At 45.4% G+C, this 21,482-nt stretch overlaps 1 long non-coding RNA gene across 11 annotated transcripts in view; it reads right to left on the reverse strand.

The window, feature by feature from the left end:
- The window catches only part of LOC100507336 (uncharacterized), a 126,588-nt gene that overhangs the window by 49,816 nt on the left and 55,290 nt on the right, over positions 1-21,482 (reverse strand). For 2 of the 11 annotated variants that reach the window (NR_187646.1, NR_187650.1), the window contains exon 2: positions 20,355-20,600. The exons of 8 other annotated variants lie outside the window; for them this stretch is intronic. This is a non-coding gene — a long non-coding RNA (uncharacterized LOC100507336). Of the gene's footprint in view, positions 1-9,096; positions 11,491-20,354; positions 20,601-21,482 lie in introns of those variants that run through there. One more of the 11 variants, NR_187651.1, reaches the window with a different exon arrangement.

Raw genomic sequence — 21,482 nt, forward strand, 5'->3', positions numbered from 1 at the left:
ATGTTTAAAATTTGTATAATAAAGTCTAGGGTAAAATGATAATGGTAAGTATTTCTGAGTAGTGAGATTATGGGTATTTTAGAATTTTGTTTGCAGCAGCATTCTTTTCTGTGAACTTCAAACCTTTTTCTTGGATGTTTATTACTAGTATTTATTAATTGAAAGAAAGATTTTCAGAAAAATTGGTTTATGTCCTGACCCTATTTCCTTTTTGCTGCAGGTGAAAAATCTCATTTCTCTGGTTCCACTGGAGAATGAGGGCCCCTAAGCATGAACTGCACTCACCATCCTCTGCCTGGAGTGTGACCCCAGGGTGTTCCATGGGGTTGGACAGTTAGAATAACAGTAACTAATAATATTAACAACTATTATCAAAATGTTACTTAAAAGAATAATACATTAGAGCAGTTTCCAGGGCAATTCCTACAATAACACTGCTTCCACTCACACGTATGTGAATATGTTTTTTTAGACAGAAAGGGATGGCGTTACAGGGATGGTAAGGAGATATGCATCCAACATTGGGTGCCACTCCCTCCCTGGTGGTAGGTAATACACCAGTCACATCTCTGCAGTGAATGGTTTGATACTCCCCCACGGTAGCAGAATTTAAACGGTGGAAGCAGCCAGGGTCACTTCACAAAATGGCACCCATGGATTTTTCTTGCTTTTTTTGCAGATTCCTTTGGCCATGCTCCTGAAATCCACTGCCTTCAAAAGCCCACAAAACTGCCCTTACGAAGCAGTCGCAGCAGTTCAGAGACCATGCCCACCCCACACCTCCCTGCAAGCCTGGCCTCTTCACGGACCTAGGCCATCCCGACCTTCAGGGAATGTGGTAATAGAGTCTATGGCCCGCCTGTGGGGACTGGTGACCTCCAGATGTGCATGCTTCAAAAGAATTACTAGAAGACAAAAGTGAAAAAGAGAAACTCAGGCATCTTGCATGTTTGCTAAATAAATCAATAAGCAAATAAATGATTGAGTGAAAGAGTGGGCTCTGCAATGTGATGGTGGAGCAGGATTTAAACGGTGGAAACAGAGAGGGTCACTTCTCCACAAAATAGCACCATGGAGTTTTTCTTGTTTTTTTGCTTTTTTTTTTTTTTTTGCAAAATCCCTTGGCTATGCCCCTGAAATCCGCTGCCTTTGAGAGCAGAAATCTGGCTGTTGTGTGTGTGCATGTGTGCCCTGGGCTCTGCCTCCTCGTACAGGCACCTATTGATTGAGGGAGGGAATTACCGTTTTTTTCTGCACTATCCTTCCTCCCCCAACCCGGGGGCTGTGATCTCAGCATATTAATGGCTAAGAAGACAAAACAGTGGTTTAATTAGTGCTGTAAGAAGCCCAGGGCTAATAGGAACCAGAGAATATTTAGTTCTGGGTGTTCTGGGTGATCTTTTCTTGCCAAAAAGCTGTCCCTTTCCCAACCAGGCAAAGGGACCGGCTGGTGTGTGTGTCGCTAATTACAGCAGTGACTCAGGCGCTAGACAGCCCTGTGACTTCTGAAGAAGGAAGGCACAGCCCTGTGGGCGTCGGGGAACACAAGCAGGTGTTGTAAGTAAGAAGTACCAGGTCCAAATCTGAAATGGGCAGTGGAGAAAGGAAGGAGCTCTAGAAAACAAAGAATCATTACTCAGAAAATGGCCAAACGCTTCAACATTCTGTTCCTTTGCTGAGTGATGGGTCACCCTCAGTATCCCCATTTGGGGTTCAGAAAATACCAACATAGTAGAGTTAGGGGATACTCCTGCCTCCTCTCTCATAAGGCCTATCTCAGAATAGTTTTTCATTCATGGTGGCTGTTTTTAAGCAAGCAATACTTCTCTCTCTTCTCTATTCTGTTACTTATGGGCATCCTCAGCTTACTTTAGATTTTATGCAGTCTTGGATTTGTCTAGTCTGTGTATAAATCCAGCGTCTCCAGTCATATTATTAATTCCTCAGAGACAACGATTCTGATCAAAACTTTCCTTAAAACCTTATTGCCTCAGCACCTGGATAGACACATGTAACCTAAACAATTCCTCCCAGTTGAATCAAAAGAAAGATTTGGGAAAGCTACATCATTTCTGGAGCCTGGTACAAATTAAAAATGTGGGGCCCCTTATCAAAAGAGCAGAGAAAAAAAAAGAGTGACATTAAAAGCACTAAAATATAAAATTTATTCCTCTTTCCTGTGGTCTTTCTGCTGACCTGACTCGGTGCTTTTTGTTTGTTCTTTAAACTTCTTCTAGGTAAATAAAAGTTAAAAATTTAAATCATTAGCATGATTTTTTTTCTGTCCATCTTTACAATGTGCCTTGGCAGTTTTAAATGCATATATGAAAGCATTTAACTTGTCTGAGGAATCATTGAAAGGACATACTCCCTATTTTGTAGCTAATACTTGTGTGTGTGGGTATTCCATGTTTGCCAGACAACAGAAACACTGCACTCAGCTGTTTTTTGTTTGTTGGTTGGTTTGTTTGTTTGTCTTTTGAGACAGAGTCTTGCTCTGTCACCCAGGCTGGAGTGCAGTGGTGCAATCTCTGCTCACTGTAACCTCTGCCTCCTGGGTTCAAGCGATTCTTATGCCTCAGCCTCCAGATTTGCTGGGATTACAGGCGTGTGCCACCATGCCCAGCTAATTTTTTGTATTTTTAGTAGAGACAGGGTTTCACCATGCTGGCCAGGCTGATCTTGAACTCCTGACCTCGTGATCCGCCTGCCTCAACCTCCCAAAGTGGAGATTACAGGCATGAGCCACCACGCTCAGCTGTTTTTATTTCGCTTCTTGACACGTGCACATTCTGCCAACACCCTGTGCCTTGGGCTTACTCGTGGGGAAAGGAAACACCGAAAGGAGAAGGAACCACAGTTGTCTTGTTTTTCCCCTTTCCTTCTATGACATTTTTCAGCATAAGTGATTGGTTAATACAAGAAGGTGGCCGGGCGCGGTGGCTCACGCCTGTAATCCCAGCAATTTGGGAGGCCGAGGCGGGCGGATCACGAGGTCAGGAGATCGAGACCATCCTGGCGGACACGGTGAAACCCCGTCTCTACTAAGAATACAAAAAAAATTAGCCAGGCGTGGTGGCGGGCGCCCGTAGTCCCAGCTGCTCCGGAGGCTGAGGCAGGAGAATGGCGTGAATCTGGGAGGTGGAGCTTGCAGTGAGCCGAGATCGCGCCACCGCACTCCAGCCTGGGTGACAGAGCGAGACTCCATCTCAAAAAAAAAAAAAAAAAAAAAAAAAAAAAAAAAAAAAAAAGAAGGAATGTGGCAGGTTTCCCTGGCTGTTTGTGTTTCTTAGAACAGCTCTACCTTCTTTCTGCAAGCAAGTCCTGCTTCAAGGGGGAGAGTCTAGAATTTGGGGGCTGTCAGTGCCCGACGTACTGAGTCTCGGATGGGATGTGTTTTTACCTTGCACCTGCTCAGGCTTCCTGGAGTCCTGTGCTTCCCGGGTCCACCAGAATTCTGTGCTCATAAGGGCATCCCGAGCGCCATGTGCGAAGTGGGTGGCCGGGGCCGGGGACGTGCGTATCGCTCAGGTGCTGCTGTACTGTCCCACCAGGCTTACAAAAATCTCAGAGACGCGGTTAGGAAGATTTCAAGACAGCAACGACAGAGCCTTAAACCGAGCACAGGGCTCTTCCGGGTGTGGGGTCTCTTGTGACTGCGCAGGTCATCCATCCAAGAAGCCGGCCTTGAATTACAGAGAACAACTGAAAGACCGAAGAGAAGCCAGTTCCGCTCTCAACAGCCACAGGGCGGATGATGCCTTCCCCCAGAAATTCACCAACAGTGCACGAGGTGCCCATGAAGAGAGCCCACAAAACTGTCCTTACAGAGGAGTCCAGGCAGTTCAGAGACCATGCCCAACCCACACCTCCCCTCAAGCCTGGCCTCTCCACTGACCCCGGCCACTCCCGCCTTCAGGGAATGTGGCAAATAGAGTCTGTGGCCAGTCTGTGGGGCTGGTGGCCCCCAGATGTGCACGCTTCAAAAGAATTACTAGAAGACAAAAGTGAAAAAGAGGGAGAAACTCAGGCATCTTGAACGTTTGCTAAATAAATCAGCAAACAAATGACTGAGTAAAAGAGTGGACTATGTGATGTAAGGGAGCACTTGTGTAAAAATTACTGATCAACATCTGTTGGAGCCGTTTGCAAATTTTGAGAATAGTCTCATGGAAAACAATGCAAGTGAAAAAAAAAAACTCTGGGAAAATCGAAGTTGTACAAGAAATGAAATATCACCTTAATACAATACTTGTCTCAACAGTGGACTATGTAGTAAAAAAATCCTAAGTATTAACTTGTTTTTAAAACATGCTGATCTAACTATTTGGGGACCTAAGGAGAGGCAGGCATAAGAGAATTAAATAACCATCTAGGATAACACAAAATAAACAGAATATGTTTAATGTTGATGAATCAACAAATAGAAGAAAAAACATTTATTTAGAAACATGAAGGTAATTAGCAAAATAAAATGATAAAGAAGTTAATATGTGTTTGAGCAGGTTTGGAAAGTGGGGATGAGTGAAGAAGAAACATAAACTGATTGGTATCATTTTTATTTAATTGTTTTTTTGAGACAAAGTCTCACTCTGTCACCCAGGCTGGAGTGCAGTGGTGTGATCTCTGCTCACTGCAACCTCCGCCTCCCGGGTTCAAGTGATTCTCCTGCCTCAGCCTCCCAAGTAGCTGGGATTACAGGTGCCTGCCATCACGCCTAGCTAACTTTTGTATTTTTAGTAGAGACGAGGTTTCATCATGTTGGCCAGGCTGGTCTTGAACTCCTGACCTCAGATGATCCACCCGCCTCAGCCTCCCAAAGTGCTGGGATTACAGGCGTGAGCCACCGCACCTGGCCTGATATTATTTTTAAATAGTGTGTTACTTTGATAAACATTCTAATGTCACAAAAAGTTGAAAATAATGGAATAAATAATAAAGATCAATGTAGAGACATATCAAAAACTTTCCAACATATGTTACTAAGTGAAAAGGCAAGTATGGCTCCCTGTAATTCTATATATCTATCTCCAAAAAGAAAAACAAACACTGAGCTGGTAGCAGTGGTGTTTCTTTTTCTTTTTCTTTTTTTTTTTTTTTTTTTTTTTTGAGACGGAGTCTCACTCTGTCACCCAGGCTGGAGTGCAGTGGTGTGATCTCAGCTCACTGAAACCTCCACCTCCCAGGTTCAAGTGATTCTCCTGCCTTAGACTCCTGAGTAGCTGGGATTACAGGCGCCCGCCACCACGCCTGGCTAATTTTTTGTATTTTTAGTAGAGACAGGGTTTCACCATTTTAGCCAGGATGGTCTCGATCTCCTGACCCCATGATCTGCCCACCTTGGCCTCCCAAAGTGCTGGGATTACAGGGGTGAGCCACTGCAACTGGCCCTGCAGTGGTGTTTCTAGAAGATGCAATCATTAGGACTCTCACGTCCTATGTTATCTGTCCTGAAATGCTTGAAACTCGTTTGCAATGAATTTTTGTATATTACTTCTGTAAACCAAAGAAGAATAAGATAACCAAAAAAAGAAAATCTCTTAAAGAACTGGGGGAAAAAAAGTGAGATATGACCACATGAACAGCTCTAGGGGTGGCCCAAGTATGTAGTATCACATTTTAGAGTCCACTGCAATAGCCTGGTTTATCTATCCCCAGCACCAGCAGGTGTCTTGCAAAATGAGCCATCAATGTCCTAGACAGCTGAAAGTAGCTGTTTGAGGGTAGCTTTCATTAACATTTGACAAACACAAACCAGCTCCATTTCTGGCCAGGTGGTGTGCTAGGCACAATGGAAGTAGTGAGATGCATCAGAAATGATCTCCAGTATTAAATGGGGCGTGGTGTCATGGGAGAAGCTTCCCTTTCTTAGTGTCAGAACACTGGTTTTCTTCAGAATGGCAGCACACCCAGCTAAAAGACCCCATTTGCTAGTCTTTCTTATGCTAAGAAAGATTGCTTTAAGAGAGCTGATTTAGCCTAAAGAAGGTATTTTTTTCCCCTCTCTTCTGCCACTCTGGGACACGGATATGATGGCTGGTGCTCCAGAAGCCATTTTAGACCATTAGGAAAGCTTCTGTCCAGAAGTCACAGATGGAAAAAGACAAAGGAAAGTGACAGGACTATGTGTCCCTGATCACACCTTGGACCTACTTATGACTGATCAGTGAGCCTTTTTTTGCTTGTGAGAGAAATGTATTTCTATCCTGCTTCTGCTATTGTTACTTAGAAGTTTTCTGCTATGCAGGCCAAGTCTCAGCCTCGGTGATACTGAGGCAGGAAAATAGGGTCTGGAGGCAGGGAATATAAGGCCGATTCACACTTCAGCTATGACAGGAAATATCCACTCCATAGGGCGTACGCCGTAGATGACTTTGTAACTTTACTTCATGCTCTTCATTTACATAGGGCATACTCCAAGTAGAGGGTATTTAAACTCCCCAAAATTCTGGAACGGGCCTTTGAGCCCCTATGCTCAGGACTGCTCCAACACTGTGGCGTGTACTTTCATTTTCAATAAATCCATTCATTCCTTCCTTGCTTTGTTTGCACATTTTGTCCTATTCTTTGTTCAAGATGCCAAGAACCTGGACATCCTCCACTGGTGCCAATACTGTGCCTTTGGCAGCTGCCCCTCATGCTGTGTCAGTTATGTCGGTCCTTTGAGGACATACAGACCAAGAAAAACATGGTTTCCAGTTTTCCTTTGGAAAAAAAAAAAACTCTGAGGAAGAGCTTTGAACTGGAATGGGCATAAAATTATATTGTACCCCAGATTCCCATCCTGCAAAATAAGGGTAGCAGTGGAATAAGTTCCTCCTTTAATTTCCTATGGTAGATTATTCTGGAAAGTGTTTAGTCCCAACGGTGTCTCCTTACACATTGCTTATCTGCAGCTCACCCACACTGTATTAAGAGAAGGGCTGTGTGTGTGCGGGAAATGCAAACTCAAGTGGCATCCTGGGCAAAACAAGATTAGGAGAGCGAATCTCTTGCAAAGGCAAGTCACGATGCTCTCCACAACCCGGTGTCAATGATGTCCAAGTCACCTTCAGGCAGCAGGCTCACCATGCTCAGATCACCTGCCAGTAACAGGGCCCAGCCTCTGAGAGGTCTCCTGAACCTCCACAGCACCCGCTCTGTGCTCAGCAATGCGATACCTGTGGAAGGATTGCCCAGGTGGCAGACATGGTTCCAGTCTTACTGAAGCAAACAAGTCATCTCTGTGGAAGTGGCTGTTCAGCATAGTATGGGTCCAAGCTAATGCAGTGTCCTCAGGCCTCAGAAGCCCAGGGTAGAATGAAGTCCACACTTGCCTGGCACCCATTTCTCCCAGCCCCACTCCTGTTTCCCAGATGGGCTCTGCCACAAAGCCAGCCCCTGGACCCACCTCAGCTGTAGGCTGGGATCCACGGCCCGCAGGCTGTGGCGCAGGGCATGGCCTAATCCCCTGAGAACGCTGCTGCACCGAGAGCACACAGCCCTGCGTGGTGCGTCCCCCCAGGGTCCCAGGCAGAATGGATGAGTGTGGATGGGGCGAGGAAGTGTGCACAGGCTGAGGGCAGGGCCCCTCACCACCACTTAGTGTCCCAAACTGCCAGTTGGGCCTGGACATGACACTGCGCGCCTTTCCCACCAGCTCATACCTCTTTCCTGTGTGGAGATCAAACATCGTGTCTGGAATTGATTGGGGTATGCACTCAAACCCCAGCCTCCATTTCCCTGCCTGAACTCCTTGTCTCTCCTGGGCCTTTGTCTGTCAAACTCTTCCTTCTCTCCTCCCAGCAGCAAACGAAGCCCTCATTATCAGCCGCCTAAATGACGTCTGAAGGGAGCTGCAGCAGCAGTGATAAGGAGAAGTCATCTCGGGCTCGGCCCCACTTGCCCAGCAAGGAAATAAACGAGCTTTCACTTCTCTCCACAGCCCAGAGCAAACCACTCCACATAAGGGGTGATGACCATGTCTTAATCCTCTCGGAGCTCCTGTGTCTAAGAAGATGCCTGGCACACAGCTGGCTGCCGGGGGAAAAGGGAGGGAGGAGGGAGGAAGACAGGGAGGGAGCTCCTCTGATACTAACTTCTATTTGGGGCCCTTCTGGAAACAGGCACAGAGGGCAATGAGGGGAAATAGAGGCAGAAATGCCGTGACCTGCCCGGCTCAATGGTAACCTGCAGATGGTCCTCTTAGGTGTGACAGATTATCAGTGACCTCCTCTCACAGAATGACCTACGCTCCTTGGCCCTCCTCTTCTCTCATGCTAGTCCTGCAAAGTCCAATACAGTAGTTGCTGGCCACCAGCGGCTATTCAAATTAACTGCTATGAAATGAAATTGAGAACTTAGCTCCTCCGTTGCTCCAGACACATCTCTAGTGCTTGCACGGGGCTAGCTACTATCATACTGGTGCTATCTTATTTATGATAAAGGTGCACCTGACTATATACTGAGGGCTGTGATAGTACACGCCAGAAACCATAGTACTATATGCAAAAGTGCATTGTCACAACAGGTTCACAAAGCCTTGTTTTGTCTTCGCCTTCCATAACTGTACAAGCTCACTCCTTCATCTCCACCCCAAAGAGGAAGGGGTGCAGAGGGAACAGGCCGTGCAGAGCACACGGGAACTCAACGGAAGTCAGCACCCCAGGAGCAGTGCAGGCACCTGGCATAGAACATCCAGGCTGCGGGTCTCAAGTCGGCACTGCTGACGTTTGGGACATTAGTCGTGGGGACTGTCCTGTGCACCGTGGGATGTTTAGTCATTCCTGAACTCCACACTGGGTGCCAGCAGCATTCTCCCTCCCCTGATTGTGACAGGCAGCAGTGTCTCAGACTTTGCCAAACGTGCCCTGGGTGAGGACCACTGCCCTCCATGTCCTCCTGAGCGATTCTCACAGTTCTTGTGGAGCTCAGCTCTGTGCCTCCTGCCCTGGACTCTTGCCTGAGACTCAGCCCCATATGTGCAACATAAACTTAGCTATCGAGCTGAGTTTAAACGTCCTCACCCCCTCTCGACACACAAACATTCTATTTTGCTTACAGGAAGATTTACCTTTTTACAGATTGTTTTGTGTTGTTCATGATCATAAAGAAACATTTGATGTACCCATCTTTTATTTCTTCCACTTTTCTTTTAAAATTTAAAAAAAGTTAATAACCTCATTTTTAAGTTGCAGTAAAATACACATAAAATTTACCATCTTAACCACTTGAATTTACAGTCCAATCATATTAAATATATTTAAATTGCATACACCATGTCTAGAAAGCTTCATGTCTTGCAGAACTGACACTCTGTACCCCTTGAACACCAACTCCCCGCTCCTTCCTCTCCTCAGCCACCATTCTACTTTCTGTCTCTGTGAATTTGTCTACTCTAGGAACCTCATGTAAGTGGAATCATACAGTGTTTGTCTTTTTGTGTCTGGATTATTTCACTTAGCATAACATCCTCAAGGTTCATCCATGATGTATCATGGGACTGGATTTCCCTCCTTTTTAGGGCTGAATAATATCCCATTACATATATGGACCACATTTGGTTTATTCATTCATCAGTGGACATTTGGATGGCTTCCAGCTGTTGTCTATTGTGAGTAATGCTACTATGAACACAGATGTGCGGACACCTGTTTGAATACCTGCTTTCAATTCTTGTGGGTGTATACTCAAAAGTGGAGTTGCCGGATCCCATGATAATTCCATGTTGAATTTTTCGAGGAAGCACCATATTGTTTGCCACAGAGATGTGTGTGACATTCCCATCAACAGTGCAGAAGGATCCCAGTTTCTCCACGTCCTCTCCAGCACTTGTGATTTTCTGTCCTTTGGTAGTAGCTGCCTTACTCCGTTCAGGCTGCCATAATGGAATACCATAAACATGGGGTTTCCAGGATATTTGATTGGAGAAAATACCTTATGATATCGTTTGGTTGTGTCCCCACCCAAATCTCATCTTGAATTGTAGTTCTCATAATCCCGACATGTCGTTGGAGGGACCCTGTGGGAGGTAATTGAATCATGGGAGTGATTACCACCATGCTGTCCTCATGATAGTGAGTTCTCATGAGATCTGATGGTTTTATAAGCATCTGGCATTTTCCCCTGCTTGCTCTCACTCTGTCCTGCCACCCTATGAAGAAGGCGCCTGCTTCTCCTTTCCCTTCTGCCATGTTTGTAAGTTTCCTGAGGCCTCCCCAGCCGTGCAGAACTGTGAGTCAATTAAACCTCTTTCCTTTATAAATGACCCAGTCTTGAGCAGTTCTTTATAACAGCGTGAGAACGGACTAATATACCTTACAAGGAAATTTACAATTGTCCACCACACGCCAACGGAGGCAAAGGCAAGCTATCTGGGCCTGTTTTACACAACTGGAGTCAGGTGCCCAGTGAGTCAGATGGGATGCGTTTGGTTACAAGAACCAGAACACCTTGTGGCAAAAGCAACAAGGAAGATAGGTTAACACACATGAAGAAGTCCAGACATGGGAGTCCCAGAGTTAGTTGACTCAGTAGATTGACAAGTTCAAAAGTTCAGGTTTGTGTCTCAGCTTTGCTTGGTTTTCTTCTTGGGACTTCAGTTCTGGCAGCTGGCCCTGTCCTGTTGGTGAATTTCAGATTGGACACATAGTCTTACCAAAATGATGGGTATAAAGATAAAGCAGCTGAAATTTCAGACACATGCCACACCTGGCCTGCAAAATTCAGAGGAATATCCGCTTTGCTTCCTGGCTATGTTGGGTCATGAGCCAACTCACCCCATGAATCCAGCCTGTCTCAGTAACCCACCCCAAACTTTCTCTGCAAGAAGGCAGGCCACCTCAGACTATCAGCCCCTATTAATCAGATATAAACTGTTCATTGACTGTGCGAGCTCAACTGCACTGTGTGGAAATTTGTGAGGGGCTTGGAAGCAAAAGCAACAATGACTCTTCCAACAAACAATTATTGAGTGTCTACTCTGGATAATTCTGTGCTTGGTACTATGCACACAAAGATGCAGAAGATGTAATTGCGACCCTAGCTCAGAGATTACAGTCAACAAATGCTGGCTCCCTCTCCAGCCAGCTCCCCTACCTGGATAGTCCGGTTGAACACAAACTGAGTAGATTCCTCTCCCAAAGGCCTATCCCTAGTTTGTCCCTGTGATCACCAGACGTTTGCCTCATATTGAATTCATGACAGATGATTGGCCTGGGAGAGGGTGAGAAGAAAGTGACATTTCTTCAATTTTTTCATGCAAGGTTACAAACACATTGAACACAGTGTTATCCCCTTCGCACACCAGCGGTCAAGTGACAATGCGGGGCAGGTCGCTCCACGGGCCGCTAGGCATCTTCCTGTGACCTCCTCTGGCCAGAGCCCCTGGGTGCCACCACTGCACAGAAACACGTCTTCAGATTTCTCCCCCTATTGGCATGTGTCAACTGCGGTCAGTCCCGTACGTCTTGCCAAGAAGTAGTTGCAAAACACGAATCTGATTGATCTTATCTGTTGGTAGAAAAAAAATCAGTGCAGTGCAGTGCTTGTGGGAGAAACTTCATTTTGTATAAGATCAGGGAGGTAAGCATTTCAGTCCATGTCTTTTTTTTTTTTTTTCATCTTTTAATTTTTCCCTCAGTGCACATGCAGGGAGGCGTCTGTGTGGCTCCTTTAACTGCCATTTCATTTCTGTTTCTGGAGTCCACAGTTGGAAGGAGGGAGTCAGGGAACTTCATTTTAGATAAAGAAAGGGGAAAAGTTCCCCTGAGAGCTCTCCCACCCTCCCAGAGTGTCACTCTCCCTTCCCGAGTGCAGGCAGGACATCTGTGTGCCACAGATGTCTGCAGCCAATTACATTTAATCAGGGCAGACCAAGAGGGCACCATTTTCCTATCAGAGATCTAAACGTGTATGAAAAGTGCAGATCTTGCAGAGGTCCAAAACGAATGTGATGTGGGTTTTTAAATTTTGCTTTGTTTTGTTTTGTCTTACTTTATATACACTATTTAACCCTTAGCTGATGTGATGATCAAGTGACAGAAACCCTCCGTCAGAAACCTGAGTAGCCAAGATTGATCCAGGCAGCTGTCCCTGGAGAAGTGGCCTGAAGGGAGGTAAAAACACATTTCTTTCACTGTACCCACAACCACAATCCAATAATGCAAACATCAACTCAAGAGACACATTAGAGGCATTTTACTCACATCCCTAACCAAGGCACCAATGTTATAAAGTATTTCAAAGTCAACCTTCCATACTTCTATCTATTCTTGCAACGGATGTTACATTTACTGTGGTTCTTGTTCATTCTGGCAGTGTTTACTAACTGCTGAGCAGGTGCTCCTGTACTGTGTTAGAGATTATATTCTCAAAGCTCATGTGCTTGAAGGGCTGACAGCATTTTACAGAGACAACATATAAACATATAAATACTGGGGCTGGGTGTAAGATAAGGTATGAAGAAAGCTATGACTCCTGCATCCCAGTCTGGGCCAGATGGGGAGGCTTGACTGGGAAACATTTCCTGATGGAGCTCAATAGACTATTTGGGACATCACCACCAACCCCCCCACCGCCGCCCCCCCGGGCTTTCTCCCTGTCCAGGTAAAAACTCCAAATATATAACTCCCCAAACTAGGAGAGGTCTCCAATTCAATTACAGTAATACACCCTGAATGGCATTCCCAGCTGTCATTTACACACACACACACACACACACACACACTCTGCACATATGATACAAATTCTCATTTATACAACATTATTCCTCATAGTCCCCCTGTAGACTGCACAATTGTTGATGGTTCTTACTGCCAACTTGGGTTTCCCATAATTATTTTAACGCATTACTCTGTGCCTTCAGTTCTTCATCCATTTCCTCTGGCATAGCTCACACTAGCCCAGCAACATCCCTCCCTTTGCTCCCACCCTGACCTGCCACCCCCACGCTTCTCCTGCAAGGAGGCTGCTCTCTTCACTCACACGTCTTGTAAGTGTCACAGGTACTATTTAAGGACTTTGAATGTGGGATAACTGGGAGTTCAAAAGAATCTTCCCACCCTGAGCCCTTTTCGATCATTCAGGCAACTGTTAAGATTCCTACTGAGTCATATACTTCTTAATATCCTCCAGTTCCCAAAGCGCCACATGTCTCACCTCACCACTTGGATTCCTTTCATCAAGCCTATCTCTCTTCTAGGAGTCTACATGCAAATGTCTTCTCTTTCTGGACTTAGTACATTGGTGTAGATCTGAGATCACCAATATCTTTAATTCTTTTTCAAAGAATCTCCCACCTGGTCCTGGATTCCTGTCTTGGTCAATTTTCTGCTGCTATAACAGAATGTTACATGTCGGGTAACTTTTACAATTCTGGAGCTGGGAAGTCCTATATCAAGGTGCTGGCATCTGGTGAGGCCCTTCTTGCTGTGTCATCCCATGGTGGGGGATCTCTTTTTCTCTTCTTATAAAGCCATGACTTTATAAGTCATGGAGGCCCTGCCCAGATGACCTTACCTAATTCTAATTACATCCTCAAAGGCCCCACCTCCAAAAAGCATCAACACATGAATTTGGAGATTAAGTTTCCAACACTTGAAATCTGGGGACACATTCAAACCATAGCAACCTCCCAAAAACTTTAGCCACTGATTTAGTTGGAAGGCATCTGGTTGCAAGCAGCAGAAAATTCACCCATCAGTGACCTAAAACAAAAAGACATATTTTTATTTATTAACAAGAAGTCCTGTCCTAGAGTGGGTGGCCCAGGCTTAGTTTCATCATGACTTTTTTCAAAGACTCAGGTTCAATTTTCCCATTTTGCCAACCTCAGAGGATGGGAGCTGCTCCCCACCTTGATTACAGAATCACCATAGGGGTTCTAAGCGTTGGGTATTCACATGACAACACCCAAAGTTTGAGCAACCTCCTTTCTCATCATGTAGGGAGAACTGTTGCCAAAGCCCCTTCCCTGCCCAGCGTACTTCACTTAGATTGTATTGGCCAGAAGTGATTCACCTCCCCATGCCTACAGTGATCACTGGCACACGGTGGTTGCCATGATTTACTTAGATAAATTATGGCTGATCCTCTGGGTTGAGCACATTGCCAACTCCTCTTTCTGAAAATTGGAATTGTATGAGAAAATGAGAAGGGAGAATAGCTGTCAGGAGGCAACCGATCATGTTTGCCACAGTTGCTTTCTCAAAAAGTTATCTAAATATAGCAACGTTGAACACAAATCTAGTATCTGACCTGAAGGCTTCATGTCCACTCTTTGCCACAGCATCTCTGTGGAAGACTAGGGCAGTTACCCATGTCCTGCAATTCCAACACTCTCCTAAAACATTCTCTACCCCTCTTTTCAGCCCTACCCTTTAAGTGGAAGTTTTTTTAAAGTACTTTTTTAAAAAAATCAAGAGAATAAGAAAATATCATTTGGATTTGTTTAATAAAATTAGGGAAGATGATTGGCAGCATTGGTATAATTCTAACAATATTATTCTGATGGAGGATCCATTTACTTAGTCATCCTTATTTGGATATAACAGATACTCTGGCATCAACACAGTGTCTCCATATCTGTGTTAGTTAAATGCATTAGTACAGTAATAAAAGTTGGAAAAGTCTTTCCTGACTCAAGCATGTTTACTACCATCTCTGGTACCATGTGAAGGGTCTTTCTACAAGGAGGCAGTGACTCTAGATCCTACTGGACCTCCAGGAAAGGAACAACTAACTGTGCTCAGAGCTGGTCAGGGAAGGCTTCAAAGAAGAGCTATGTTTTCCACTGATCTTGAAGGATGAGCAGGAATTCACTGCAGGGGAGAAAGAGAGAAGGGTATTCCAGGCTGAGGGACAAGACACAAAGGCACCAAAGCATGAAGAGTGTGGCAGATACTGGGCCAGAGCAGTCAGGAGACGTGAGCTTCAGGCTGGGAAAAGAGGATCATAGAGGAGGCTGAGAAGGTGGGTGGAGGGCAGACTCTGATGGGCCTAGGCACGTTGTCGTAGTCTGTGCTGCTATAACAAAATATCTGAGACTGGGTGATTTATAAAGAACAGAAATAGACTTCTCACAGTTCTGGAGGCTGGTAAGTTCAAGATCAAGGCAGAGGCTTCTGGTGAGGACCTTCTTACTTCATCCTCACACGGTGGAGGTGGGAGAGCCAGAGGGACTACTGCTGTGCCCTCACATGGCAAAAGAGTGAAGAGAGTGACCCGTGCCCGCAAGCCCTTTTATAGCAGCACTAATCCCTTCATGAAGGCAGAGCCCTTATGGTGTAGCCATCTCCCCAAAAGGCCCACCACACAACACTGTTGCATCGGGGAGTAAGTTTTCAGTACATGAATTTTTGAAGTGGACAAAAACATTCAAATCACAGCATATGCCAAAGCTTGAACTTTAAATTACAAAGAATAGGAGCAATGAAAGATTCTTGAGAAAGTAAGAGACATAGCCAATCTGACCAGTCTTTTGCAGGCAGGAAGGTTAAGATGGGTTAAGAGTCTCCCAGGTTCCATGATTATATGACCTGCTGAGGTCTGAAGAATTTATAGTATGCTGTTCATACTGTGTCCCGGTAAGAACTATTCCACTTAGTACACCATGGTAATTGTTTACAGGCTGAAACTAGTTGAAATTGCTTATATTTGAGAAATCATTGGCCTTCCTGGCTTAATTTAAAAGCAAACAAAACAAAAAACCTAACAGCAAAGCTATAAAACTGCATGACCAGCAAAGCTCAGAAAAAGTCATGCATAAAATCAATAAATTCTAATCTTTTATAAGTAACATATCCCTTCTGAATACTGGGTTAAAGGAGAGTGGGAGAGAGGTTTTGGGTCTACTATTAAGGTAATCATATAAAAACAGATGTAGGAAAGTGGCTATCCATGCAAGAATAGTTATATAAATACAAATGCCTACTGATATGCAACACTGAATTTCATGTACACCTAACAGTCCTGTGAAATGTTCACATTGTCTAAATTCCAGGACTCTGTGAAGCTGCACTTTAAAACATCATATTACTTAAAAATGAAAAAGAACTAGCAGATTTCTTGCCACTCTAATAGTCTAGGTTAGAGGTGACAGACAGCTTCAGCACTCAGGCAAGATCAATTGATTCAACTGCATGGGAAAAAATTCCAGGACTATGTTGGGATCAGGGCAGAGGAGTGGGATGGAGTAGAGGTGCTGGCACAGGTAAGGATAGCCAGGCATCCCCATGATCACCATCCTTGCCCTCCCTGGCTGAAGCTGTACCCTGGATGGTAGGCTGAATCATTACCTGACAGATCAATGTAACTCCTCAAGTTCCAGATTTTACCCTATCATTGAAAAAGAAAACTCCCAGCTCTCCAAATTTTCCAACCCCATTAACCTAATGGACATTGCTTCAAAACCCTGACACTCATTTCAAATCAGCAGAAAAAAATAAGTCTGTCAAGCAGTGAAAGAATAATAATGATCAGTTATGGTACGCCTACTGGGTGCTGTGTGGCAGGTGCCAGGATGAGCTCTTTGCCTATGTCCTCCATTCGACCTTATAGCAATCCTGTTATTACAGTGGCATTATCCCCAATTTACAGGTAAGAAAATATACTACGGAGCAGTTAAGGAAGTTGCGTAAGTCACATAGCTGAAGAGTGGTAGAGCCAGTAGAACACAGGTCTGCCCATCTGCAAAGCCTGGCCCTTCGCTACTTCAGCACACTTCTTGAACAGGGCAGGAACAGCTGTTTAACCCACTGGGAAACACGCAATTTAAAGGAAATACACTAAGAAGTCCTACTTCATAGCCCATGCCCAAAGTATGTCTCACTTTGACATGGAATCTTCTAGAATGTAAGGCAGGGCCTTTGTCTGCCTTGCTTCTTTAGTGTCCTTGTCCCTAGGAGAGGGCCTGACATAAAATAAGTACATTCTACCAGGAGTAAGGAATTCTCAGACCCAAACATGCCCCTGGCATAATTTGCTTCCTTTAGCTGAGAATGCCACATTTGGCCACTTTTATCCCATGTCAGCCTTTGATTCAATTACAAGAAATGATGTAGCCCAGTTTCCATAGAGAATTTTCTAGCTTAAAAGCACAACAAAGATGCAGCATAATCCAGCCAGAGTCAGAGTGCGCAATAACCATCAGAACAGAACCTACCCCTTCCTTAGGTGTCACTGAGCCAGCTTAGAACAGAGACTGGCTGCTTCCAAGGTGCGAGGGACGGGCTACACACACAGCAGCAGGGAAGCTAGGGCCCCTGGGGTCTTTCCCGGCAAGTTTCATCACCACAGATCAGAAGTGGTCAAGAGACACAGGGCAGCTCAACCTGTTGGCGATTATTGTCTGGTTTTACAGCTGCCATAAAACAAAACTGATGAAATTCAGCAAACATTCCCATCACAGAAGTCACCATCTCCACCTCAGGGCACTCCAGCAAGGGTGTGAGTGGCGGGAGGTTAGGGGAATGGGCATGGGAGAGGAGCAGGTCCGGGTCTGTGGAGGGTGGTCGTCAGGGTTGCGTTGATAAAGGAAGGAGAGGAAAGAGTTCAGCCTTGCAGACCTTGTGGTCCTGCTTGATTCAGTCTGGCCTCCTCACCTGAGATGATTCTTGGGTACACTTGCATCATTTTAAGCCTAACTCTCAACTCTAGGCCCTTGTCCTTCACTCTCCCCAGTCAGATCAAAGACTGGTTGAGAAGGGGACCTTTGCAGCTTGCTGTATAAGAGGCAGTGAGTGGCGTACAGTACCAAGAGCAGGGTCTTTGGAAGGTCCAGGGGCCTGCAGCTTCCCTCAAGGTGCAAGGGCTGGGGAGACACAGGTGGGAAGTGAAATCCCAGCTCCCTGTTTCCTCACTCTGAGCGTCAGCTTCCTCCTCTGTAAAATGGGGCTGTTTTGGGAATTAACAGAGAATTTAAAAATCACCACTAATTGTCTGTGTGATTTGGGACAAGTTGTTTAACTTCTGTGCCTTAATTTTTTTGTCTGTACAATGGGGACAGTGACAATGCTCTTTCCTAGCTCACAGCATGAAGGTTAGGAGCTGGGTAACATGAATAAAAGGGCGGTGTAACTTACAGATCATTGCAGCACTGTTGGGATAGGCATGTCCATCGAGAGTCCTAGGGGCTGAAGCTCATTTCTCTGACCTTGGTTCCTCATTCTGCCCAGCCCTCCTTTCCTCCTGGACCCCTCAACTCCTGCCCTACAGCCAGGCAGTATGGGCCCTGCACAACCCGCCACATCCTGCACTGTCCGTCCTGCACACCGCTCACATCTGGCCACAGCTAGCTCGCTCAGCGTGGCAAAGGAGCAGAGAACGGACAGCGATGTTCCTCAAAGGTTTCTCTGTTGGGAGGTGTGGGGGAAAGGGGAGGGCTGCAACCCTGTGCCTGAGGCCTGCGCCCTGAGTAAGAGAGGTGGGGAAAGGGTGCAGCGAACTCCTGACCAATGCTGGCTCGGTCAGGAAGTTTGTCCTCTGAGGACCAAGAACGTGCCTGGCCAGAGGCACATGAGGGAGAGAACGAGGGACCACAGTGGCAACCTGGACACCTGTCAACCCCATGCTGCTGATGTCAGTGGATTCCAGAGAGCTAATGAAAGAAAAAAAAGCTCATTCAGCTTGGCATAAAAATATGAATAAATCACTGCCACCGATGAAGTTTGCTTACCACTTCCGGCTACTTACCATGTATACAAACATCTCGTTACTGAATTAATGGTAACACAGGATTTATTTCACCACAGCACTTAGCTCCATGATTGTCCTGCCTGCTGATGCCCTGACACGGTGTCATCTGCTCATTCAGGGGTGTGTGCAACCTCTGAGTTAGCAGATCTCAACGGTGTTTCTCAACTTTTTAGGCATTTGATTTCTAATCACCTACACCATGACATTTTAATACCACAGATGTACTACATATCTGTTACATACTGTGTTTGTGTATATATACATACGATTTATACATTAAAAGATTAAGATTTTCTTTTGTCCCCTGATGACCAATGCTCTTCTTCTTGCGGGGGTGATATTGTCCCCACTGAGAATGCATTATCTGCACAATGCTCACCAATGGCTGTTAACGTCTCAAAAAAAGAGACACCAGGCGTTATGAGACTCCTTTTGGAAATCTTACGAAACAACAACAGCAGGAACACCCAACAATTACCTAAATCTGATCAAGCTTCTAGGTCTAGCTACCAGTTTACAGGAAAAAAATGGAGCACTGAGGAATGTGTTCAATAGCACCACGGGGATGAAATCAGCCAGACTATGGAAAACTCTATCAGGCAAACAACGTTGTTTTTCCAACAGGTAAACTGCAAGGGAAAAAGTGGAGAGAAGGAACCCATAGATTAAAGCACTTCAGAGGCACATCAGCTACCACCTGCTAGCACGCAACTGCAGCTTATGAGACCTAGTGGGATCTGATTCAGCCAAACTTTGAAAGTATGCACGAGCCAGAAAAAATAACATAAACACAGACTAAACGATGCTATTATATAGTTATTATTAATTTATAGGTGTAAAAATGATATTGTTATCTTTTAGACATACATACTGAAATAGTAGTGAATAAAATTATTAAATCTAGAATGATTAAATCCAGGGTTTGTTTTGAAATAATCCTGAATGAGGGGGAAGTGTGTGGAGATACAGATAAAACAAGATTGGGCATTTAGTTGATCGTTGTCGAAGTTGAGTTTCGGACACACGAGGTTCATTGTACGACTCTCTTTAATTGTGCACACGTTTGAAATGTTCCATAATTAAAAGTTAATGAAAAATAATTAGGTTGCCACCCAGCAGTGTCATCTGGGGGAGCCATCTGGACTCACCAACCACCTGCAGTGGATCCTTTCTGGAGATGGCGCCTGCCGTGAGCTCTTCTTCCCCCGTGCCATCCTCACCGTGGCATTTAACTAGTGTGAAGAATCACCGTAATGACACAGCCCCGGCAGAGGTTAAGCGGCCTTGCCACATAGGATTTATTCTGCAGGCCACATCTGGACAAAGGCCAAGGTATTCATTTCTTTCCTTTCCCAGAAAAGCTCAAACTGCCTTTTCCTATTTGTCCCCTCCCTTGTCACAGTGGGAAGAGCTTGGGTTTTGGAGTTAGATGAGCTTGCGTCAATCCCAGCTTTGCAAGTAGGGTCTAGGGGTCATGGGACCTTGTTTTGTAACTGCTGGAGCCTGGCTTCCCCATCTGTAAAAAGTGGAATGTCAGTGAAAGAAGGCTCTTCATTACTACTGATCACAACCACTCTGGCTGGCTTTCAGAACCTTATGAAAGGTTATTAGGTAGCTCTTCAAATCATCCTAGGTGTGTGTGAAAGGGTTGGGTTTGGCGGCTTCTCAGAGAGCAACCGTACCTGAGTGACACAGCTAGACTATCCCAGTAAGGCTGTGCCGCCACATGGCTGGAACCCGCCTGCCTCTGGCACCCTCTCCAGGGTTCATTCTTTGTGCTGCTTCCTTCTCCGTGGCCTCAGCATCTAAGAGGAAGACTCCTGGAGGTGTTGCGGATTGGCTGAGTTCAGGCCCCACACCAGCACCAAGATGCATGGGAGGAATCCAGGAACATGAGTTCAGACTTCCAACTCGGGACAGGTGGACTCCTGAGGTGGGGGAGACCCAAACACAGAGAGGATGTTCAAAAATGCAGGTGACCCATGACAGCAGGAAACGTCTACCATAGACATGGACCCGGAGCCTTTCCAGGGCCTCCATGCGCCTCACAGACTGGGTAAATTTCGTCCAAACACACCTTCCAGACCCTGTGGTGTCTGCAGCATCTCTCACTCTCTGGATGTTCCCAGATCTGACCTCCTTGGGCTCCCTAGACCACCACACCCCTGTGTCCTCTAACGCTCTGTCTGTTTTTATCACAAGACTCTGACTACAGAACCCAGCCCCCTGACAGTTTTGAATTAAAAAAGAAAAACAGAAATCTACTCGCATTAAGAGTTTCATGATTTATGTAGAATTTGCTGAAGATTTGGGGTGGTGGAAGGGGCCTTCTGTGTTCTCTTGTGCTCGCTCTCTGTCTTACTCTCGCTCTCTTTCTTTCTCATCTACCTTTTCTCCAGTTTCACCTGCAGAAGGTCCACTGTTCTTACTCTTGGAGAGTTCAGGGATCTACCTTCTAACCCAAGCAGTTTTCAAGGCATGATTTCTAAATAAGTGCAATTCTCTTCCTAGGTGGAAATTTAGTGACTACAATTTTCTTCATCTCACTACAGAGGACAATTGTGAGGATTAAATTAAGTAATGATTATAAAGTACTTACAGCATTGCAGATTCTCAGCAAATTATTAAAAGAAAACTTATCAAGTCCACTCAGTATGTGGGGAAAGCAGGATATTTGCATAATTAGCATTACTGGGAGTCTTGGTTGCAAAAAGTTGGTGATGAGCTCCAGGAGGCCTGGGTTTCTGTCACGTCATGAGATTTATGTGATATTTAGCAACTCAGGGATGGCTCCTTCCAGCTGAGCAAGA

Source organism: Homo sapiens, chromosome 6 (genome assembly GCF_000001405.40).
Source record: "Homo sapiens chromosome 6, GRCh38.p14 Primary Assembly".
In the NCBI taxonomy this organism is placed as follows: Eukaryota; Metazoa; Chordata; class Mammalia; order Primates; family Hominidae; genus Homo; species Homo sapiens.